Source organism: Homo sapiens, chromosome 7, assembly GCF_000001405.40.
Source record: "Homo sapiens chromosome 7, GRCh38.p14 Primary Assembly".
Taxonomy (NCBI): domain Eukaryota; kingdom Metazoa; phylum Chordata; class Mammalia; order Primates; family Hominidae; genus Homo; species Homo sapiens.
In genome coordinates this window covers 90,247,325-90,273,160 of record NC_000007.14, presented here as the reverse complement: position 1 = coordinate 90,273,160, position 25,836 = coordinate 90,247,325, and the positions used below count along the sequence as shown (strand labels likewise).

General features: G+C 35.9%; 1 protein-coding gene across 30 annotated transcripts in view; it reads right to left on the bottom strand.

Moving 5' to 3' along the window:
• The window catches only part of CFAP69 (cilia and flagella associated protein 69), a 78,550-nt gene that overhangs the window by 50,563 nt on the left and 2,151 nt on the right, over positions 1–25,836 (bottom strand). For 17 of the 30 annotated variants that reach the window (XR_927530.2, XR_927531.3, XM_011516577.3 and 14 more), the window contains exons 2-8: positions 17,679–17,738; positions 14,998–15,063; positions 11,105–11,214; positions 7,784–7,860; positions 4,777–4,875; positions 1,486–1,635; positions 1,203–1,380 (exon numbers count right to left, since the gene is read on the bottom strand). Coding sequence is in view for 27 of the 30 variants with exons in the window: in XM_011516577.3 (XP_011514879.1) it covers positions 1,203–1,380; positions 1,486–1,635; positions 4,777–4,875; positions 7,784–7,860; positions 11,105–11,214; positions 14,998–15,063; positions 17,679–17,738 (740 nt within the window). In the remaining 3 variants the exon portion in view is untranslated. The other 13 variants (XM_017012624.2, NM_001160138.2, XM_047420845.1 and 10 more) reach the window with 9 other exon arrangements.

Here is a 25,836-nt window from a genome sequence, read left to right as displayed (position 1 = left end):
AAGTCCTGTTTGTCATTCAGTTACTAGACTTGAGTTCATTAGGAAGCAGTTATTAATTCTCCAACTCTGAGTTAGGTTCCCTTGTATTAATAGTAGATATTTGTTGCTTTGCCTCCTGGGACCTACTTGCCCTTTTTATAAGAACAGCATTCTTATTTTTATTTAGGCATTTACTCCTTCCTGACTTTTGCTCCTGTGAGGCTGCCTTCAGCTGCCTTTTCGCCAGTCAGAGCATTTTTTCTTTTGGCACTAATAAATCACTGTGGAACAGGCATTTGACCAATATTAGACCATTCAGGGCCAAACTGGACTCAATTCAAAGACTTTTCTCTGAGCCTTCAGGATAGCAAGGTTTCTCTTCTGCTTGATTTGAGGTTGAAATGATGTGATCGTAGACTTCTTAGGTCTTACTACATAGGCTTGGGTGTGAAGCCAGCACCATGGAAGACAATGTAGAGAGAGGAGGGACGAAGTCCTAGTATCTGCTGATCCCTGAATAAAGCTGCACATGAAACCAGTTTTATCCTTGACTTTGTAGTTAAATAAGCCATAAATTTTCTATATTGCTTTGGTCATTTGGGTTTTTAGTCACTTGCAAACAAAAATGTGCTGACTGATCTTCTTCTGAAGAACATGTAGCATCTTACAATAATCTGTTTCATAACATTTAGTATGTTCTCTTTTAGTTGTCTATTTACTTGTCCATCCCTCCTAGCACAATGTAAATTCCACGAAAGCAGAGACAATATCTATATTGTTTTCAGTGGTATTTCTATGGCTTAATACTGAAGCTGGCATAGAGCAGACAATTATTTGTTGAATAAGTGAAGAAGCAACTTGAAGGCTTACGCACATTTTGTTGCTAATGCTTACTGCAATATCTGGGAGATAGTAAGCACTCAATAATAGATTCACTGGATAAATAAATGAAATAGTTCTTCTAAAGTCTAATTTTACTTTATCTATATTCCAAGTTATATTTTAGTGTTAAGAAGCTACTTCAAGAGCCTTCCACATAGAAAAGTGTGGCTTGTTATTGTGCAGATTCATTTATACCATGGAACAAAAAAGATGTCCTGAAACATAGCCATTACATGAATCTAAAACATAATTGAACACAGATTCAAACAAAGATGTTAGTTATGTCACTGGCTGTCATTTTAAGATTAAAAGAACATTCCTATCTAACCACATACGCTTACAGCAAACATTCCAAGTTACTAAGCTGTTGTATGACTTCTTCTTTTGAAGATTTTTCCAGCAAGTTCCAAAGTATTTCTGATGAACGAAATAAAAGCTGTCCAGAGGGATCTGGGTCATTGAGGTGAGTACAGATTCCACTGGCTGCTTGTGCTTTCATCATTATAGTACAATTAACTTCTGAAAATAAATTTTAAAAATTATTTGTGCTTTACAATATTGACATTTTTAGACATAAACAAAAGTAGTTGACAATGAAGTGTTTAAACTTAATAATATACAAACCAGAAGTTGAGAGATGCTGCAGAACTTTAAGTACCCAAAGTTTCTCAACAAGTTGATTTTCAAGCAAGGTCATTGACTGGACCATTGTTTTTGCTAATCCTCCAACTTCAGCCATTTGAATCTTGTATGATGAACTCGCTTGCTGGTAACCTAACAACAATTCATTAATAAATACATACAGTTATCTCACAGAATGATCATTAAGACAAAAGAATGAGTAATTTATTATTAAGCAACAGCAAGAAAAACTTTTTAAAAGTATATGGAATTTAAAAATTGCGCAGCATAGGGATGGGCCACATTTTTTCTGTAAAGGGCCAGATAGTATTTTAAGCTTTGCAGGTTATAAGGTTTCTTGCCAACTACTCAACTCTATAGCACATTGTAGCAAGAAAGCAGTAATAAACAGTACAAATATAAGTGGACATGGCTGTGTTCTAACACAATTTTGTTTTCAGTAGGCCTAGTTTGACCTGGGACCCAGAGTTTGCTGATCCCTGGTGTAGTATTTAAAATAGGACGATGAATTTTGGAAACATCCTAAATTCTAAAAAAGAACAATATTTCTTGTCAGTAGATATGACTTTCAATAATGGAAAATGATTTAATGACAAATACTGAATGTTTTCACTAGTCAGTTTCACTGTTCAGGTTCAATGCATTACTTCAGTACTTTCAAGGGACAACAATTACGTAGTGTCAGCAATAAAATAAGAGGTGAAAAATGTAATGCTACTCTGATAATTGTGAGTGAATTTAATAGTATTTTAGGGAAGTTTGATTCTTGGTGACATGTCTTATAAAAATTCCTTCTGTCTTAGCACCTGTGAGAAATACTATCTCTCCTTTTGATGCAGGTATACCTAATTACATTCAACTAGAGGGATTAAATAAACACCAAAGGGTCCTCATTTACTGAGATGAGGCTTTATTTTTTCTTAGTGATCTCATTTATCTAACACCCTGACTTTTTGATTTTTGAGTCCAACTAGATTCTTTAACTTTGCCCTAGTTCTGAGGTATCTGTCAGTTTGTCTTATCTTTGTAAATATGATCTCTGGCTGTGGACAAGGCCCTGTCCAATGCTGTGATGAGCTTTCTATGATATGCTCTAGCTACTCACCTCATGAATTATAAAAAGCATTTAAAAAGTAAGAAGAGGAAGGTAAAAATTGCCTATATTTTCATAATCTAGAGATAACATTAACATTTTCATATATTTCTTGTGATATTTTTAATGTATGCATACAATTTTAACAACATACTAGTATACAGAATTTTATATTCTACTGTACTCACTAAAACTTTTATTGTAAGCTTTTCCCCATCCTATAAAGTGTTTTCTAAAATAATGATTTTTATGTGCATAATAGTCTATCATATGGATGGACCAAAATGTACTTTATACTTACTGTATCTTTTTCTATTGCAGGTACATTTTAACAGAGGGATATAACACCATTAAAGCTCATGGACTTAATTCCTGTCTCCAGGGCTATGTCTCTTTCAACTGCCATACTGAGGACTTTTCAGCCGTGGTCCCGGATGTCTGGCCATACCCATCACTTGAAACCAACTGTGTGATAGTGAGAGCACTGACTCCTAATTTTCAGAGACTGACCAAATCAACCTCACGTCTTTGCCCCATAATACTCCTTTTTCTTAAGTCCTACACCACTGGTTTCCCTTTCTTTGAAGGGCGTCTGTATTTTGCCAAGGTTAACTCTAAGCTTGTGCTCTTAATTCCATCCTCTTGTGCTTTCTTTGAGAATTTCACCTTCCCATTTCTTTCTTACCAGCTTCTAGCTCCTCTGCCTACAAATGTGATTTCTTCCTATCCTAAAAACAACAAAACCCAAATAACCTTTCTCTGACTTTGCACTAGCTGAGCTGTTCTCCATCTTCTTTCTTTTTCTTCACCATCTGATCTTAAGATATGTCTGCATTCATGAACTGCCACTACTCTCTCACTCTCAAATCCAGTGCCTCTACTCTCACAATCCTCTGATTCTTTAATCCTGCATCTGCCCTGACCACTTTATATCAATAGATCTGTCAAAGATTTAACTACAACTTTTCAAGTGTCACATTAACTTGGCCTTTTAACTCTTCCATTACAGAAAACTGCAGCGTTTGACACTGAGACAACTTTCTCCTCCTTTGTCAAATATTTGATTCACTGGCACACAAGACATGGCAGTCTTTAGGTTTTCTTCCTCCTCTTTGAGCCTCCCTTCACTGCCAATTTCTTTGAATCATTTTTTCCAAACCTCAATATGGACACTCTCCATGTCATTCTTGATGCCTTGCTGCTTATATGTTTTATCTCTTGGCAAACTCAACCATTCTGGTGGCTTCAATTTTCAACTCTATTTGGGTGGATTCCAAACCTGTATTTCTGGTCCTGTTGCTTTTAGTATCCAATATCTTTTATCTACCAAGACACTCCTTCCCCATCTATCTCATCAACAGTTCAAACTGGACATTTAATAATCTCCTTATTCATTTCTCTAGTTTAGGTGCTGTTCCATTTTTTTGTTTTACTTTTTGACTTCCTTCTGTTTTCCCTGAATTTCTTTTTTTTTTTTAAATTGTCTTTTTTTAACTGACTTCTGGTTCCCATTTTTCCTTAGTCTTAAATAATCTTTCTTTTGAACTACCACAGACACTTATTTCCACCTATATTAAGAATCATATAACTTAAGAAATTATTGTTTATATCCTCTCTCCCTTCCTAGATTGATTAGAAATTACAGAAACTATGAAGGTAAGAAGTACATCTTAACATTATATCCTCACAGTGCACGTGCCACTGTCTTGGTCCCAACCAATTCAGTGTGGCTCATTTACCACTATATATTAAGGTCCCTTAGCTATAACACATAGAACTATTTTCCCAAACAGGATGGAGAATGGCCCTGGCATTGGTAGCTTAACATTTAACTGAGTGGGGGCAGATATTATAAATAATTATAAAGTGTTTAAAAAATAATTTTATCAATGGTATTAAATAACATAATAGTAACATTTATAATTATTAATAAACTAAATTGGGCATCACTTTACAAATTTGTTCATATTTAGCATCAGAATAAAAATATGCAAATCAAAAACTGAAAAATACATATATAACTTTCAAAAGATGACCAAAGAGCTCAAGACTACAAAAAAGTTTTCTTTTTAATGTGTTACATTTATGAGCCCACTGTGTCTGTCAAATTCAAAGAGATATGAGAATGTTCTGTTTTCTACATACACAAGTTATCACTGAAAGACCATTGTAAACTTCACCTGGAATATGCTTCTTTGGTGGTTCTGCATGATAAAAATCAACAATACACTTACAAATTTGTATCCTCAATTCAGAACTTGGTATTTTCATTAAGTCACCTGCCAGAAAGATAAACAGGTGCTATTTAACAACACTGTCATAAGCTTATTTGTAGAATTTAGGCATAAAATGTTAATAATATGATGATTATTAAAAATATTCTCAGAGATTCAAACTGGATCATGTTCAATTTATATGCATATTTTTATACATATGCTCACACACATACATACATATAAACAGTACCCTGAATCCATCCTTATACATTTGGCCCCTCAATCAATTCAGCCTCTCCTTTCTAGGGAAGAAAGAATGATGATTATTAATACAAATGCTAGAACCAGACTGTCTAAGGTTAAATCCTGGCTATGCCATTTACTACCCATGTAAACTTGTGTTTTACTTTTCTCATCTATTAAGCAGGTATAACAATAGTTACCACATTTAAGATTGTTGTGAGGATTAAATTAGCTAATATGAGAAAAGGGCTGAGAAAAGCATCTAGCATGTTGTAAGTTCTACATGTGTTAGATACTATTATTATTTTGACAAGATATGGGTTAGCATTTTTCTCCCTAACTAGAGGGTCAGTAATTTTTTGCCTTTACTAATGCATTCTTTGCTTAGAGAAGTTCCAGGTGAACTTTGCTCTTCAGTTTGTTGGCAGACTGGAAGAGAGTGAGTTTTTAAGCAGCTGCCCCACATGCAAGGGTAATAGTTTTATGTTCAAGCTGTCTGCATGGGGTTGGCGAATAGGAAGGTTCGTTTTCAGTCATATCTAAACTACAATTAAATTGGCTTCAGCCTGTATTTCAAACTGGATTGCATCTACTCTGTTGAAGTCCTATAAACATGATCCCCAAGGGTATCTGAAAATGATCTGTGGGACTCTGGAAATGATCCAGGTTCTCTGAATGCCCAAGGACAGCGGTAGTCAGTAATATCGACCTTAGAACTAAACTAGAACTGGTTGGACTCTCTGAGAGTAAAAGAATAATTAGGAATTCCTCTTTTGCATTAGCCCTTGCAAGACGCTCATCTCTGGAGGTGGTCAGCAAGTGGGGTGGCAAGTGGAAAGAAGGAGGAAGCACAAAGGAAAGCCTGACCCTAGCTTCAGGAGAATCTCTGCAAAAGATATCACTTAAAAGACAGTTTTAAGATTATTCTAACTCTAAATTTTATTTATTTTTCGGACTGTTCTTTTGGAGTTGCAAAATCACTACTTAGGTTTTAAAACATATTAGGCAACAAGAACAACTAAGCTTTTCCAACAAGACTATCCAAATATGCAGGCTTATGGGAAATTCTAGGGTCTTTCGTCTGCTTTTCCACTGTTTTAGTTCCTGTAAATTTAGATAATTTATCATAGCTTCCTGTTTCATAATCCCAGGGCAGAGTACCAACTTCTTCCCCCATCCATTTCCAGAATCTTGCCTCTGAGTCAGAAATATCTATGTATCATTTGGAAGAAAATGTAATATAACTTATTAGTACGTAGTAGAAACTGGAAGTTCTAACTAAAATCATGAAGAGTTTTTGTTCAACATTTCATCTTATATACAATTATTTTAGTTTAAATTAATGTTTCCAGCCATTAAAAAAACCAAGAAACAGAAGAGCAGTACTCGCAGTCAGTAATCAGCGAAGGAAGCTCATTTAAAGTTAAGAGTTCATACTGTTGTCATATGAGATAGTAACATGTTCTGCAGGCAGGGTACCAGTCATTAAGCAAAGAATAAGTTGACACTCAGTAAAAAGTGAGCCATGTATTTATAATACAAGTGACTGTCAACACTCTTGGAAGCAATATTTAAAAATAATGGCAACAGGGGTATTTTAAAAAATAATGTTACCAACAAAAACTACACTTTTTATCTGTTAATACTACCATGTCCTCTTTTGGGTTGGCTTCTCATTGTAAATTTCTGCTGATGATAGAGATTCACATAATTAAAAATTCCCATATTTCTGAACCTGCCTGCTTCCTAAGGTGTTTTTCTTTAAATTGCCCCCTTCATGTTTAACCTAATCTCAACAACACCTTCACCTACTCTAGGATATAGAGTAGGTGAACCCTAGGTAGTTTTCCCAAAGTAACTAAAAACTATAAAACCTACTGAGATATAAAAGGGTTAGTGTCTATGTTAAAAATAAAAATCCTTTTTTTCTTCATTCCAGTTGAATCTCTAACATCTTTCTATATGGAGTATAATGCTGGGAACATCATTATTCCGTAAATATTTTTAAAAATGCACTGGATCAATTGTGTATCTTTTATTCCTCCTGTACAAATAAAGACCTAAACTAGTAAGTATAGATTTAATGTAGGATTTGTTTTGGGAACATGCCATCATGTCCCAGGAGCTGACTCAAAGAGCCAGTGTTTCCCTGATCTAGTTTCCTAGGAAATTGTTTTCTTTCTCTAGAAAATCAAGTGATAACCCATACATAAGTGCCTACCCTTTTATGATATTTTTCATATTTTTGTGTACAAAATATAGGCATCTGCATCTTTATGTGCATTATGCTGAAGTTCTTAATATGCTATTTTATGATTTGATTTAAAATTTTAGATCATTTAATGAATAATTCTATGATTGCAGCAATTCAATATTAGAGTTCAAAGTTGAAATGTTTTTGTGATTATTTAAAAAGGGTATGTACACTTTCTGATTTACAAAAATAGTTAACAAACACTTCATTAAACTAAATAATAATTCATCAAACTACATTATCAGCCTGTCCTTGTACTTAGAAGATGGACTTTTATTGGTATCACGAAACAACCTGAACAGAATACAATACCAGAATTATCACCAAGCACACTGTGATTAATTCACTAACAAGAGAAGATCCTAGACATGGAGAAGGAGTCCTCTTAGTGAAACTTGGGGAAAATAGATATTCCCTTGTCAGTAGGACCTGTCGTATGTTACATCCCTATACCTTAAGGAAATCTTAACTTACCCAGAAGTGCAATTGAATTAGCAGTATCTTCAGCATAAGTTATTTCATCCGACACTTTCTTTTTCAAAAATGGCAAGCTTCAATAAGAATGAAGAATTGTAACAGTAATTTTTAATAAAGTCTTTAATTGAAGCATCATTTGTAAGTGGGGGAGAGTTCATTTCTAAAGAATAAATTAATAATAATATTCTATTCTTTAGCCCTGGGGATTGACAATTATTAACTACCAGTTGTAATACACAGTATTACAGTTTAATAGTATTGTAACTATTAAAAATGTTTCTGGGGCCGGGTGCGGTGGCTCACACCTGTAATCCCAGCGCCTTGGGAGGCCGAGGTGGGTGGATCACGAGGTCAAGAGGTTGAGATCATCCTGGCCAACATGGTGAAATTCCGTCTCTTCTAAAAATACAAAAATTCACTGGGCATGGTGGCGTGCACCTGTAGTCCCAGCTACTCGGGAGGCTGAGGCAGGAGAATCGCTAGAATCCTGGAGGCGGAGGTTGCAGTGAGCTGAGATTGCGCCACTGCACTCCAGCCTGGCGACAGAGTGAGCGAGCCTCCATCAAAAAGAAAAAAAGAAAAAAAATGTTTCTAATGAACTGACCAAAAAGAAAATATTATATTAATTATAAGAATTAAGAAATGGATGTAAAAGGCATAGGTTAAGAAAGCCATTTTGCATCGCTTCATGAATAAAAAAACTTAGGAACCCTCTTTCTCTTAGAGGTCAAAATAGTAATAAATTATAGCTATAATTATATCAAAGTTAGTACGACATTGGATAATCTGGAACAAACCATAGATCTAAGCTCACCAGTAACTTAAAAACTGGTTAAGAGCTTTTCCTGAAATTTTCAAAACTCTAGGCAAAATCGATAGTTTATTCATTCTTAGAGATCAGTGCATTTTTGCTTATTAGCTGGGTTAGTAACTATCCACAAAATAACAGAATGGTTTTGCAGACATTAAGGCATTCAAGTTAACAAATATTAATTATATTAGAATCGCATTTCACAACTTCTATAACCAAAGTTATTTTAAAGTAACTTATTTATAAATCATAAAAGATCCAGCACATAAACCTGGGTCAGTCTAAATTTCAAAGAAAATATAAAAGTTATTTTTTAAATATATAAACTATCTTGACATTTCATGAGTTCAAAATTTGAACCTCCTGTACTATTTAAAGTACAATATATCCTATAGAGACAGGACTTTTAATTCATATATATATATATATATATATATATATATATATATATATATATATTTTTTTTTTTTTTCGAGATGGAGTCTTGCTCTGTCGCCCAGGCTGGAGTGCAGTGGCACGATCTCAGCTCACTGCAAACTCTGCCTTCTGGGTTCACGCCATTCTCCTGCCTCAGCCTCCCGAGTAGCTGGGACTACAGGTGCCTGCCACCACGCCCAGCTATTTTTTTTGCATTTTTAATAGAGATGGGGTTTCACCGTGTTATCCAGGATGGTCTCCATCTCCTGACCTCGTGATCTGCCTGCCTCGGCCTCCCAAAGTGCTGGGATTAACAGGTATGAGCCACCGCGCTTGGCCAATTCATATTTTTCAAGAAAAATTAAAGAAGTAGTTGAAAATGGTATTGAGAACTATCACATGAGGATGTATCAATAGCAATATACAGGCCAATTTGAATTTAAAGATATCTGAAGAGCAAGCTACAAAAAGGACAATTTTATAAATGCCACAGAAGTTCATTTCTAGTGTTTGTCAGAATTTGTCATTTGAAACAAATAATGTATTATATTTGTTATCCAGCTGCTTTTTGGATCTCTAAAGTGAAGGACTCTAAAACTAGTACTTTTTGTTCCCAAACTTTTTCCTTTTCTAGCAAAGGACACAATCTATAAGATAAAGCATCAGAAGAGTTTTCAACCAAAAAGTTTATGAAAAAATTAGCATTATACTTCTAATGCCATGAGAAAACCATACTACTTGGAGGCCAAAACGGAAAGGCTTGACATTATTATTCTATTTTTATTGTTTTTATCTTCCAAAAATGTCTTGAAAAGAGAAACAAGTGAGGGTGAGGCATAGAGAAGTTATCTAGACATAAGCTGAAATTAGAAAAGTAGAAAAAATTAACAATGTGAATAATTATGAAATATGAGGGAAAATGAAGACTGCAGCTAAAAAGGATTTATCATATTATACAATTAAACATTCAGTCACAAGTTTTCATAGACAATGAACTTTGTGCAGAGCTCTGTAGGAGCATAGATGTTGAAAGCAATTCTTATAAACTTGGCATTCTAGGATTTGCAAAGCCTTGAGATTTAAAAGTTTTACATTATATAATCGTATGTCAATATAATAATAATTTCCAATTTGTTCCTTGAAAACACCAGAGCAACCATTTATTTTCCATTGTACCTGTCTATTAAAAAGCAAGGCATGGTATAGGCATTCAATATATTATTTTGGTTATTTTATTCAGATATCAGAAAATACAAATTTAAGTGGTTACATATTAAATATTGCTAGTAAATCTAAAAGTGAGAGTTAGAACCTATCATGTATGCATAATTCTACTAAACCTTTCTATTATTTATATATTATTTGTATATTAAAATAAATAATTGCTATCTAAAAAGTTAAATTGGTAGAAAGGTTCAGAAGGTAAAATTGTCCAAAAGGTTTATTCCTCCCTACTACATTACATTTAGCAACTAAAAATGGATATTTTAATATATACCTAGATTAGCCACTATGTGGCACCAAGGAAGCACCATATACTCAGTTCCCAGAACTTGTTAGAGAACCAACAGTAGAAAGAATAAGACATGTTAATTTTACAATTCTTATCTCTAACTTACATTTTTAAAATATATATCAAATGTAATTGGTGATTTTTATTCTTCACTCAAATTTCAAAAATCAAATAAAACATGACATATATAACCTAATATATCTTTGAGACTCAAATTTTCTAAAGACAGAGAAAAAAACTAGACTGAAATTATAAGCATATCCATAAGTTCACTCAAAGATTTTCTGAAAATACTATAATTCCTTGGTTACATCTAATATTTAGCATTTACTTCAGAGTAACTAATTACAAGAAAGCATTTCAATATACTTAGAATTTAATCTCTTGTGGCTAGCAATCTCAGACCACAGCAAACTGATTACCTGAAATGCCAACTGCTGGAATCAAGTGATGAACTGAAGTTTTCTGAGTTCTGTAGCAATCTGCTACACTATAATGCATAGTATGTTTGTGATATAAGAAACATAATAAAATACTCCATGTTACTACAAAATAAAGTTAAAGAAAGATAACTTACCCACACAGTTTTATGATATCATATGCAGATTCTATAAAACGAGGCTGGTTTTTTATTTTTCCTGAACACAGATTCAGAATTTTAAATATCTGTGCTAAATCCCTTAATGGCTTTAATATTTTTAGTTAAGAAATAAAATTCAGATTAATATCTTTATTAACATATTCTTTATAGTATTTCTGTGAAGAAAGTCTATAGAATTCCAACTATTTTGCCAAATGTGGTAGATACTGTTTTAATTATTCTTATTTTGAAGTCTAAAAAAGGAAATTTAGAACCATATTTTTAAAAAAACCATTTCATTTTTGCCTCAGTAAATGCCTACTCAAAATTTTTTTCCTCTCACAACTTTAGAATTGGATTACCAACTGCTACAACACAGATTCAGTTGATCAATAACTTCCCACTGGCAATGAGTAATAGCACATTGAAAACATTAACTTACTGATTAGGCTCAATTATACCCTTCATCTTCACCCCCTACCCCTGCCCACACAAACATATGCTGTCTCAGAATAAGCAACCTAAACATTACTTTACTCCACTATTTTATTAATATTAAACTGAGATGCATTTTCCTGTGTTTAAGGCTTAAATTGGTTAGGATTTTATCTGAAACTAATATGAAAGCAAAATATGGACTTTCTAGATATTCAGATAAAAGCATCTTTTATTTTATCTATTTAAAAATCCTGCTGGCTCACGCCTGTAATCCCAGCACTTTGGGAGTCCGAGGCAGGTGGATCACGAGGTCAGGAGTTCGAGACCAGCCTGACCAACATGGTAAAACCCCGTCTCTACTAAAAATACAAAATTCGCTGGGCGTGGTGGTGCCTGTAATCCCAGCTATTCAGGAGGCTGAGGCAGGAGAATCGCTTGAAGCCGGGAGGCGGAGATTGCAGTGAGCTGAGATCATGCCATTGCACTGCAGCCTGAGTGACACAGTGAGATTCTGTCTCAAAAAAAAAAAAAAATCCTATTGGCACATAAACACATTTCATTGATTTTGTTTTACAGCTAAGAAATTATGGTAGATGTGACTTACACTTCTTGGTTGAATCTTATTACTCCTAGCCTTTTTCTAGGACCTTTTAGGAAAAGATGGGAGAGCAGGGTACACTGGAAATAGAAAGCTCTGTTAACTTCCTAGAGAAGTGACCAAGATACTTCTCTAACTTTGCTAAGTTTTACAACTTCTATAGCCAGCCTATGAGAGGGATTTAGAAATAGAGCCAATTGCCACCAACGGTTTAACATGAAGAAAAAAAAAATGGAGGTGTTGAGATGTCAGGTTAAAATAGGAAAAGAAATCCCTGCTAGTAGACATTTTCAGCTACCAGTAAATAGGGCTTGATATACACAAGCCCTAAGATGGAACAGGTCCAAATAAAACCAAGGCTAAAACATAATAAAAGATTTAGATTAAATTATAAGAAACATTTTCCTGAATGGAAGTCTTAAGAGGTTTTGAACTGGAATGAGCTAATATTAGAGCTTGATAACTTTTCTTTTTTTCTTTTTTTTAGAGACAGGATCTCACTCAGTCACCCATACCCAGGTTGGAGTACAGTGGCACAAACATAGCTCACTGCAGCCTCGAATTTCTGGGCTCAAACGACCCTTCCACCTCAGCCTCAGCCTCTGGAGAAGATAAAACTACAGGTGTGCATCGCCATACATGGCTATTTTTTTTTTTAGAGATGGGGTCTTGCTATGTTGCCCAGGCTGGTTTCAAACTCCTGGCCTCAAATGATCCTCCTGCCTCAGACTCCTAGGGTGCTGAGATTACAGGCATGAGCCACAATGCACGGGCTTGATAACTTCTTTAGACCAAGTCAGACAACTGTTCAAGATCATTTTCAGGGTGTTCAGTCTTTTGGATTCCCTGGCCCACACTGGAAGAAGAAGAATTGTCTTGGGTCACACATAAAATACTCAAACACTAATGATAGCTGATGAACTAAAAAAAATTATCAAAAAAATCATAATGTTGTAAGGAGTTTACAAATTTGTGTTGGGCTGCATTCCAAGCCATCCTGGGCAGCATGCAGCCCACAGGTTGAGGGTTGGACAAGCTTGATTTAGATGAATACTATTCAAAGTGTGGTCTATGGACCACTGTCAGTTCTGGAAGTATATTTACTAGTCTGTGACAAAATGAATACATAAAGTGAGAGTGGACATATAAAAACTTTTATAACAATCTAATATTTGTGGGATACTTTTATTGTATTTTACAATAGCATATATATGTAAATGTTAAAAAAAAATGGCCAGCTGTGGTGGCTCACACCTGTAATCCCAGCACTTTGGGAGGCCGAGGCGAGAGGATTGTTTCAGCTGAGGAATTTGAGACCAACCTGGACAACATAATGAGACTCCACAAAAAAATAAAGAATTAACTGGGTGTGGTGGGTGCATTCCTGTAGTCCCAGCTACTTGGGAGGCTGAGGTGAGAGGATCGCTTAAGCCCAGGAGTTTGAAGTTGCAGTGAGCTATGACTGCCCCGCTATACTCCAGTCTGGGCAACTAAGGCTGGATGGAGACTCTGTGTCAAAAACAAACAAACAAACAAACAAACAAACACCCCAAAACAAAACAAAACAAACTGGTTCTTATCCAAAGGTAGTGTTTGTTTGTTTGTTTTTGAGACAGGGTCTCACTCAGTTGTTCACACTGGAGTATAGTGTCAAAATCTTTGATCACTGTAACCTTGAATTCCTGGGTTTCAGCAATCCTCCTGTCTTAGCCTTCCCAGTAGCTAGGAATATGGGCACACACCACCACACCTGGCTATTTGTTTTTTTGTAGAGGCAGGGTCTTGGTATGTTGACCAGTCTGGTCTTGAACTCCTAGCCTCAAGCAATCCTCCTGTCTTGGCCTCCCAAAGTGCTGGGATTATAGGTGTAAGCCATCACACCTGGCTTTTACGTACAGATAGTTTTAAGACACACTGGTTTTCATGTATTCTGGTCAGGGTCGTATATTTAGTAGGGATAATATATTTATATAATATTTTGCAGATTATCAAGCACTTGGATGTACATGATCTCATCTAATCTTGCTAACAACCTCATGAGCTTCTATTACTTTACAAGGGTGGAGAGCTTATCAAAGGTACAACTGCCCATGTAAATTAATAGAAATAATGACTTTGACTTGGCCCTCTAACTACATCCATTGTCTTTCTGAATCGACAAAAACTGACATTATCCACAGTTACTTGTGTTATATTGTTTCTTCAATTTTATTTACATTATCTGATAGAAAATACAGTCTTATAAAGAACATAAAATGTTAGATATTTTCTGTGGTAGACAGAATAATGGCCTCTCCAGTATTTCTGTGGTAGACAGATTAATGGCCTTCCCCAAGATATCTATGTCCTAATTCCTGGAACCTGTAACTATGTTACATAGCAAAGGGACTTTTCACATATGATTAGGAATTTTGAGATGAGAAAATTATACTAGATTATCCAGGTGGGCCCACCGTAATCACAGGGATCCTTATAAAGGAAAGAGGGAGGAAGGGAGGGTCAGACAGAGAAGATGATGTGACGACAGCAGCAGAGGTGAGAGTGATGCCAGTGGGGGGAAGAGGGCATGAGGCAAGGAATGTAGGAAGCCTCCAGAAGCTGGGGAAGGCAAGGAAATGATTCCTTTCTAGAGTCTTCAGGAGAAACCAGCCCTGTCAACATCTTGACTTTAGTCCACTGAGGCTGATTTTGGACTTCTAACCTCCAAAACTGTATGATAATAACTTTATGTTGTTTTAAGCCATCAAATTTATGGTAATTTGTTACAACAGCAATGGAAAACTAACACATTTTCTAAAAGAAATTCTCATTTCAGAATAAATGAAATGAACATACATATATATGTAAAGGATACAAGTCCATTCTGATAACACTGTACCAGTTTCTTGACAAATTTAAGTTGTTTTTCTTCCAAGCCATCCTAAAACAGATCACCTATTTTAGTTCTTTTGTGCTTTTAAATCTGTTGAGATTTTAAAAAATTCTTCAACATAAAAGTAGACACTTTAAAATTATCAAGTAATTCTTAAATTACTATATTATAATGTAAACGTTATAAAATGTTTTCTGAAACAGTGAAGGTAAAAATAAACTATCAGAACGACTGTATGATCTAGCAATCTCACTACTGGGTATTTATCCAAAGGAAAGGAAATCAGTGTATCAATGAGATACCTACAGTTCCATGTTTATTGCAGCACTACTCACAATAGCAAAGATACAGAATCAACTTAAGTGTCCATCAATGGATGAATGGATAAAGAAAATATGGTCTATATATACAATGGAATCCTATTAAGCCATAAAAAAGAATGAAATTCTGTCATTTGTAGCAGCATGGATGGAACTAGAAGATATTAAGTGAAATAAGCCATGTTTAGAAAGACAAATATCACACATTTTCACTCATGTGTGGAAGCTAAAAAAGTTGTTCTCATGGAGATATAGACTAGAATGATAATTACAAAAGATAGGAAGACTGTGTTAGTGAATATTTGTTAGCAAAGTAGGGTGACTAAAGTCAACAACAATGTATTGTATATTTCAAACTAGCTAGAAGAGGGGATTTGAAATGCTCCCAACACATAGAAATGATAAATGCTAGAGGTGGTAGATAGCCTAAATACTCTGACTTGATCATTACACATTTTATGCATGTAACAAAATATCACAAGTACCCCATAAACATTTACAGACATTATGTATCAAAAATAAACTATTATTTAAATTTGATTAGGAAATTGGGAATCAAAACCAGGTTAATATAAAAGCAGTAATTGTTTCCAGAAATAATATTAACAACAGCTAAAGTACATTGAATATTTTTTCTACGTCATGTACCACATGGGTACCATATATACATATCACTTCATTAATTTCCAAAATGACCCTATTAGGAAGATACTACTATGATCTCTGTTTTCCAGAATAGGAAACACAAGCTGAAACATTTTAAAGTAACGTGTCCAAAATACACAGCTAAAAAGTGGTGGTGTTAGAAGACAAATTTGGAAAGCTGACTGTAGAGATTGTATTTTTAACTTCTAAAATATGCTCAGTGTTCTGTGCAAGCCAAACATCTTAAGTCAATTAAAAATGAAAATAAGCAAGTAAAACTTCTACACAGTGATGTGTTTCCATGACTGAATTCTGTCTGTCCTTTTAATCTTAAATGTTCCTGAAAAGCTGTGATATTGTCTATACTTTTTCTCTGTAGCCTTATTAAACAGCTAATAGGCACTCTATGCAGTTGTGGTTTTTTAAGGAAATGTAGATATAGTCACAATAAAAAATAACTTTTCACAACAATGATAGCCAGAAAAAGATAAATTATTCCAATAGTCACTTTTTCTCCTTTATATGTAAAAAAGCAGAGAATAAAAAATGTTAAAACAGTGACCAAATTTTTGTGCCTCCTATTCATAGGACATTGTTTTCTTTTGATAGGCTATACTATGGTCAACCCACTTACTTAAAAATTTTTTTTTTTTTTTTATACTTTAAGTTCTGGGATACACATGCAGAATGTGAAGGTTTGTTACATAGGTATACACGTGCCATGTGGTTTGCTGCACCCATCAACCCATCATCTACATTAGGTATTTCTCCTAATGCTATCCTTCCCATAGTCCCCCATCCCCTGACAGGCCCTGGTATGTGACGTTCCCCTCCCTGTGTCCATGTGTTCTCATTGTTCACCTCCCACTTATCAGTGAGAACATGCAGTGTTTGGATTTCTGTTCCTGTGTTAGTTTGCTGAGAATTATGGTTTCCAGCTTCATCCATGTCCCTGGAAAGGACAGGAACTCATCCTTTTTTATGGCTGCATAGTATTCCATGGTGTATATGTCCACGTTTTCTTTATCCAGTCTATCATTGATGGGCATTTGTGGTCAACTCATTTTCTACTTACTAACAATACGTATTCCTTTTTGGAAATCACCACATAAGTTCCTAGCGTGTGCTGGCTTTTAGGCATTCAGTCGATTCTTGATAACATCAGGTGGTATATGAGCATGTGTGCATATACATTTGTTGTCTTTTCTCTCAATGCCTGCTTTCCCAATTTTGAGTCTTGTGTCTAAAATAACTTAATTTCCATTACATCTTATATATGATTGTTCTCAAAATAAATTATCTATGTGTACATGTTTGTGTGTATCTATCCTGATTTCATAATTAGTACACCACGGTACCCTGTTTTCTACCATTTCTGTCCTCCAATCCTACTAGGTAACAAGCACTTAACAGAGGCTAGATGATCCTTTCTGTACTCTTAGGATTCCTTCTGTTACAGCCACCATGGGTTTGTCTATCTCATAAAAGCAAATCTATTCTCTTCCTCCAGTCTCCCCACTTCATTAAATATATTCATACTAAATTTAAATAGTCCTTGAATATAAGATATGTACTATTTAAAATGTTTTCAACAAAACGAGATAAATGAGACTTACATTTGAAGGAATATATGTTACCTTTCAGGGAAATAGTTTGTAAGTAATGCAGCGGAGTAATTTTCTCTCAAAGCTTACTCACTTTATCAGTCTCTTCGAGGAGTTTGATGACACGATTAAGGTCCATAGGCTTGAAAACATCCTAAAAAACATACAACTCTTACTATTCTAGATCATCTTCTATATCAATAAGTCATATCTAACACACTAATTTATATGATACTTTCCCTTGGTAACTTAAAAAATGTTTTATGACACTACGATAGTAAGGGGAGAATGAACAGTAGATGAAAACTCACAGGAATAAATAGATTTTGGAGTAAAAAACCCCTCCTGAATTCTAGTATTTTGTATAATCTTAATGTTTTAAAATTTCATCAGCCCTGAAGGGCCCAAGAAAATATTTAGAATAATAGTACTTCCATAAGTTGAGAAATAAAATTATCTTGTATACACATTACACTAAGTTTGCCTATGCAGATACATGGTAAGAGTAGCTTCTAAACTATAGGTAGGAGATTGCTTTTCTCAACTAGGTATCCCCTTATCTCAGTTAGTACCAGCATTCTTCCAGTCATCCACATTAAAAAAACAGGAACCTCCAAGTTCTACAGATTTTACATCTTAAATATTTCTTGAGTCCATTCCATCTTACTGATTTATTCAGTTTTTAGCTCTTACTTAATTTCAAGGGGTTCCTGCTGTTCTCGTCGACTCCACTCTTGCACCCTTCAACACCATCCTCTATTCTACCATCAGAACAATAAAACTGAAATCTGAACATGACCCGTCTAAACTATTCAATGACTCCCCATTAATGCCTCTCACATCTCCTCTGTTGTCACTCATGTTGTTACATTCCTATTCCTCTCCTTGGTTAATTCCCACAGGTCCTTCAAGACGAAGCTCAGGTGTTACCTTCCCAAAGGATGAAAAAGGCTAGAAAAATGCCGTGCTCTCATAGCACCCTAAGTTTATATCCATTAAAATTCCCATCACATTGTTCTGAAAGGGTCTACATGTTCGTTCCCCACCACTCCCTGCCCCAAAGTTCTCTCAAGAGCAAAAATTTTTTTGCTTTCAGGCACTCCCGGCATCCAACACTGGGCCTGACATATAATATTGTTAGTTGCTTAATAAAGATTTGGAAAATGCAACCAAGAAGAGGCTATATTATAATAAAGTTATTCATAGGTAAACGGGGAAGGAAATGGGTACTATCATCCAAAGTTTAAGTAGTAGACCGCGAGCACCCAAAGCAATCCTGAGCAAAAAGAAAAGACCTGGAGGCACCACACTACCTGACTTCAAAATATACTGCAAAACTATAGTAACCAACACAGCATGGTACTGGCATAAAAACACACACATAGGCTAATGAAACAGAACAGAGAACCCAGAAATAAGTCCCTGCATTCACAGCCAAATCATTTTTGACAAAGGTACCAAGAACATACAGTGGGGAAAGAACAGTCTCTTCAATAAATGGTGTCAGGAAAACTGGACAGACATATGCAGAAGAATGAAACTAGACTCCTATGTCTCACCAAATAAAAAAATCAAATCAAAATGGATTAAAGACTTAAATATAAGACCCCAAACTAAGAAGTCACTGGAATAAAACATTGGGGAAACACTTTAGGACACTAGTCTGGGCACAGGTTTTTTTGGGTAGGACCTCAAAAGTGCAGGCCACAAAAGCAAAAATAGACAAACGGGATTACACCAAGCTAAAAAGTGTACCCACAGGAAAGAAAACAATTAACAGAGTGAAGAGACAACCCAAAAAATGGGAGAAAATATTTGCAACCTATCCATCTGACAAGGGATTAATAACAAGAATATACAAGGAACACAACTCAATAGCAAAACAAGGCCGGCCGTGATGGCTCACGCCTATAATCCCAGCGCTTGAGAGGAGGAGGCGGGTGGATCATCTGAGGTTAGGAGTTCGAGACCAGCCTAGCAAACATGATGAAACTCTGTCTTTACTAAAAATACAAAACATTAGCCAGGTGTGATGGCGGGCACCTGTAATCCCAGCTACTCGGGAGGCTGAGGCAGAAGAATTGCTTGAACCCGGGAGGTGGAGGTTGCAGTGATTCGAGATCACACCACTGCACTCCAACCTGGGTGACAGAGTGAGACTCCGTCTCAAAAAACAAACAAACAAATACAAATAGCAAAACAAAACAAAACAAACAACCCCAACAACAACAAAAATGAAATAATCCGATCAGAGGTAAAGTATTTATGATGATACAGGGATCTACAAATTCTAAGTGTGGTTTTGACTATATTTATCTTGGGGGTTAATGCCTTGCTACCTGACATTTTATCTTAATTCAGGGTTATGTCACAGTGCTTACCCCCATTACAGGAGTTAAGCTCTCCCAGTTTCCTTTGTATCCTCTTTCCTGCTTTCACGCTTACTTCTACTTTAAAATAAATGTTTGAAAAGGTGATGTAATGATGATACAAACAAAAGCGAAAAAATCCTACTTATTCCTATCATGTAGTAAATGCATCTATTTTTATTTTTATATATTTTGTTTTTCCTTACATGCATAAGTATTTTACACAATTTCACTTAGTGTTAGTTAATACCATGGCAGCTTCTGAGTTTTAAATCTGCAATACATACTTTTCCATACTTCTACATAATCATTATTCATTGTCTTAGTTTTAGTATTTCCTTGCCTTTAAAAATTACAAATTCATATATTCTGATCTCAAGAAATTTCTTTCAAAAACAATTTTTAGAAATTAATCCTAACTGAGATGTCATGGCATCAAAAACAATTTGTAATGAAACATGCTAACTTTAAGTCTGTGGAGTAAGTATCTGAATGAGCTCATTTACTCAAAATTATATTTATTTTTATTTATTTTTGACATAGAGTCTTACTCTGTTGCTCAGGCTGGAGTGCAGTGGTGCAATCACGGCTCACTGCTTACCTCAACCTCCCTAGGCTCAGGTAATCTTTCCACCTCAGCCTCCTGAGCAGCTGGGACTACAGAGGCACACCACCCCATACTTTGCTAATTTTTGTAGTTTTTGTAGAGATAGAGTGTCGCCATGTTGCCCAGGCTGTTCTGGAATGCCTGGGCTCAAGCAATCTGCCAGTCTCAGCCTCCCAAAGTTTTGAAATTACAGGCATGAGCCAACATGCCCAGCCATTTTTACTTTTTAAAATAATTTTAAAAAGGATTTACTAAATACTAATCTATACCTGGTCTTATGTTACCATTAAAAATTGTTAAATATTACTGTTAAATAGTTAAATTTACTGTTACAAAAAATTTTGGTAAATAGACTTCTGCCTTTTAAGATTTGGGGATTTGGCAGTGATATCCACCACTACCTCAGCTGTCTTTTCTCTTTTCCTCCTACACTCTCAGATTTTATACGCGCATGCACACACACACACACACACACACACACACACACACAGTGGGTTTTTCTTTTCTGGTTTTCTGAAATATTTGTTTAGAAGGTTAGACAAGGATATTGGAATGAAATGTCAATGCAGGATTTTTTTTTTTAAGGCTAATCAAGGGAAGCAGTGGGAATGGAAAAGGAAGAAATCCGTAACTAGCTGTAATCAATTAGCTGTAAAGAGCACTGCACTTGGGCCACCCCAATTGCAGGATTTTCTTTCTAATATTTGTGTGTATTTTCAGATTTTTTCTCCAAATGAGCAGGTATAATTTTTAAAAGAACAGAGAGTAGTAAAGATTAAAGCATAGATTCCTCTTAGATTTATCTTGCATTATCCATTTCATGTTACTCTAGTTTTACCTGCTTGGCAGATTTTTAAAGATTTCTCTCTCTCCCTCTACCTTCCCTAGACTTTTCCTCCTTCTATAACTATTTATTAGTAGGTTTTTTTTGTTTCAGGAATTGTGCTAGGTGTGGGGAATAACAATGTCCTCACCTCATGCAGCTATTGGTCTGGCATGGGATTTTATAGAAGGCTTTGTATGTAACACAAGGATCTTAAAAAGCCATTGAATGGTTTGAGACTGAACATATAAACAAAACTGGTCAGACTATATGTGACAAAATAACTCTGGCCAACAACCTCTGCTGCAATTGGCTCAGAAAAGTCAGGATTTGGCCAATGACTGCCAGCTTTCCCGGTTTTTGTCCCTCTGCTTCCAACTTAAGACCAACCAGAGAAAGCCAAATATGCTTTCCAAGTCAATCACAGAGGATACCCTACTTCCAGCTAGTCCACCTCTAGCTTTCCCATGTCAGCAACCTACAATTAGAGTAGACCTGAAGCCTCCCCCACACCTTTCTTTTTACCACTATAAAGCTTCCCAGGCTGCATTGGAGTCTCTGCCAAAAAGTGATAGTGGCTGAATCCCTCCCTATAGCAACCGCTGAATAAACAGTCTCTGTTTATTGTGGTAGCCTTCATTTATTTCCACAAGATTTAACCAGAAGAATTTAATTATGAAAAGATCATCTTGTATGCTGTGTGAGACTGATTTGGAGGTAGACTGGGAGAAGACTGGGTTGGAGGTAGATTGTAACTTTGGGCCTTGAATAGGTAGCAGCAACTGGTATAGACAACAGCAAATGGAATTAAAAACATCAAGAGGTAGATTCATCAAGACCTAATGAGTTACTGGACGCAGTGGGAGAAAGAAGGAAAAAGCTGAAGACAATTCCCTGGCTTGAGGAATTACATAAATGATTTCACCATTTCCTGAGACAGGGAATGCTGGAGGAAGAGGTTTGTGTTGGGGGTTGGAGATGAGAAAAATTTGGGGCAGAGGTTTCTGAATCATAGGCTTAACGTGACAATTGAAGATTTTGGGTAAATGAGATCACACAAGCAGAGAATAGAAACAAAACAGAACATACATATGTAAATACCAAAATACTATCATCTTAAGATGTTTATGGAGAAATTGTAAAAGCATTCACAAAACCTTTTAAGATCAAAAGTTTAATAAATTGCTTTGAAGACAATCAGACTTACTTCATTCAAATTATAGGATGAACTTATTTCCCACTTTACCCAGGGACATTTCAGAGGGAGAAACCTGCTCATTTGATACTCAGTTACAGGGAAAGAGACTAACACTTATAGTGGTCCTTTCATGTGTCTGGCATTTTTGATCTCAATTAGTCTTCAAATCTACCAAGTAAAGGTAGCACTATTATCCCTCTTAATGAAACTGAGGCCCTGGGACCTAACTTGTTAAAGCCACGTAGCTATTAATAATAAATGGGCCAGCAGGTCTGTCTAATGTAGAAACTCTGGTTCTTTGTTCCTTAGTTCTCTGCCTGACTCCTCAATGGACAACCAAGGAGTCTCTCTCTCTCTCTCTCTCTCTCTCTCTCTCTCTCTCTCTCTCTCTCCTCTCTTTAAAGAGTGGGGGTCTCCCTATGTTGCCCAGGCTAGCTTTGAATTCCTAGGCTCAAGCGATCCTCCTGCTTCAGCCTCTCAAGTAGCTGGCACTATAGACACATGCAGCCAACTACAGAGGTTATTTCTTGCAAAAACCCTATAAACAAGGCTAGACAATTTTAAGCACACAGTTCATGGAAGTATTACTGACAGTGACAGGATATGATATCAACTAAAAGATTGTGGAAGTTCTCATGGGTTCTCAGAGGGAGAGCAAATTTGAGCAAGGAAGTTCAGGCATGATACCTACGCCAGTCAACTAATCATTATATTAATTGTTATTCAAAGTGGGAAATGAGGTCCTCCAACTAGCAGCACAAGCATCACCTGGAAACCTGTTAGAAAAGCGGAGTGCTGGGGTTCATCTAAGACCTACAGAATCAGAATCCACATTTTAATAAGATCCCCATGTGCTCCATATGCACATTAAAATTTGAGAAGCACTGCTCTAAAGGGGGTTGGGATACTTTAGAATGAGGGGAACAAAACTAAATAGAAAATAGATAAATTAGATATCTTGTGATTTCAACATATGATTAAGGTGAATTTCACTGCCAATCCCATCACTCTCCAGGGGATAAAGCACCCTTTAAACTACATTACCTCTACCTTCCTGTAGGAAGCCAGAGCCACATAAACACTGGGATTAATACTAGAAAAACAATCTGAGAACTATCTTCCTATTTGGTAGGTTTTGATACCCAGTGTATTAGTCTGTTTTCACACTGCTATGAAGACACACCCAAGACTGGGTAATTTATAAAGGAAAGAGGTTTAATTGACTCACAGTTCCACCTGGCTAGAGAGGCCTCAAGAAAAACAGTCATGGCGGAAGGCAAAGGGGAAGCAAAGACCTCCTTCACAGGTGGCAGGAAAGACAGAGAGAGAGAGAGCAAAGAGGAAGAACCTCTTATAAAACCATCAGATCTCGTGAGAACTCACTATCATGAGAACAGCATGGGGGAAATCACCCCCATGATCCAATCACCTCCCACCAGGTCCCTCCCTCAACACCTGGGGATTACAATTCGAGATGAGATTTGGGTGGGGACACAAAGCCAAACCATATAACCCTGTAAATATCATCTGAATTTATTTAATAATTTAATAAAGCTGTTATGACTAGAGTCATTAATAATAGCAGAAAGTTACCATTTATGGGGCACTTGGAATGTATGTGCTGGGCACTGTGCTAAATGCCTTACAAATACTTTAATTCTCACAATAATTCGATGAGGTAGGCATTTCTAAAAATATCTTTTACAGATGAGGAAACAGACACAGAAAGGGCAAGCAACATGTCCTAAGTTCCTCACAATTAGAAAATGGCCACCAAAATTCTGGTACTATTTTATTGTTTCGAAACTGGAAAAGTATGATAATCACTTTAAAAAAGAAGACGCTGGAATCACTACAGTAGGGATTATCAAAATTTTTATAGAGAGAAAATTTGAAGATATAATGTTTACATAGAATATGTCTATGAGAAGTTCACAACATGGAATGAAAATAACAATTCAAAATCCCAGATTCCTAAACTATTGTTTTCCCTATTTACTAATAACTTTACTCATAATCTATATTTACATTTTCCATAATTCTATCAGAGAACATTTCAAAGTTATTAAAGTTAGAAAAATCTAATACTCTGTGAATATCATTTGTAGTAGCTTAGATAGAATTTATAGGCGCTATTGCCTTTTACAAAGTTATTTTTGTGAAAGATGCAGGAAAAAAATACCACTTAATGCAGAAGTAAAGCATACACACAGAAAAATCAGCAAAATAACCCGTACATTTTACCTGCTGCCTTAGGCAGCAATATTCAAGCCTATTTCTTTAATTACTAAAAACTAAGGTTAGGGTAACTGAAAGGTTCAATTTAGGTCTGTAATAAAGAAAATGATATAAAACAGCTATCAAAAGCCCAGGTAGCCAAAGTAGCATTTCTATATTAGGAAATCCAGCTGCAACTTAGAAACATCTCTGAAGGGATAAAGTGAGCAGACCGAAATCTGCATTAAAGCAAGTAAGATTTCAGGGGCATCCAGTCTCACTCTCACATCCTGGAAGCCAGTGGGAACAATCAGAATTCTAGAGAATCCCTTAGCTTTAAGGCCCAAATAACTTTATGAGCTCTAGTTCCCTGGATAAAGGATGATGACAATGACAATGATGATGTTGATAACTGCTTGTTTTCAATTATATATATAGGTCTCTCTATAAGTTCTCTATATTATTGTATAAGTTTGCTTATATATTATTTCTTTTTGTTTTGTTTTGTTTTGTTTTTTTGAGACGGAGGCTCACTCTGTCGCCAGGCTGGAGTGCAGTGGCACAATCTTGGCTCACTTCAACCTCTGCCTCCCATGTTCAAGTGATTCTCCTGCCTCAGCCTCCCAAGTAGCTGGACTACAGGCGTGCATCACCATGCCCACCTAATTTTTGTATTTTTAGTAGAGACGGGGTTTCACCATGTTGGCCAGGATGGTCTTGATCTCCTGAACTCGTGATCTGCCCTCCCCAGCCTCTCAAAGTGCTGGGATTACAGGTGTGAACCACCACACCCGGCCTATATATATTATTTAATTTAATCTTTACAATGGACATGAGTACTGTCATTATCTCCATTTGATAGAAAGGTTAAGATACTGGTCTTTGGTCACATAGCTGGTAAGTGATGAAGCTGACAATGAACTGAAGTAGTTGTGATACTCTCACCTTTAGCCACTAGGATATACTGTCTCAGAAGCACACACAGGCAGAAGAGAAGTTTGCAAATGTGCAGTGGTTTGAAAGAACTGGAAACAGTTC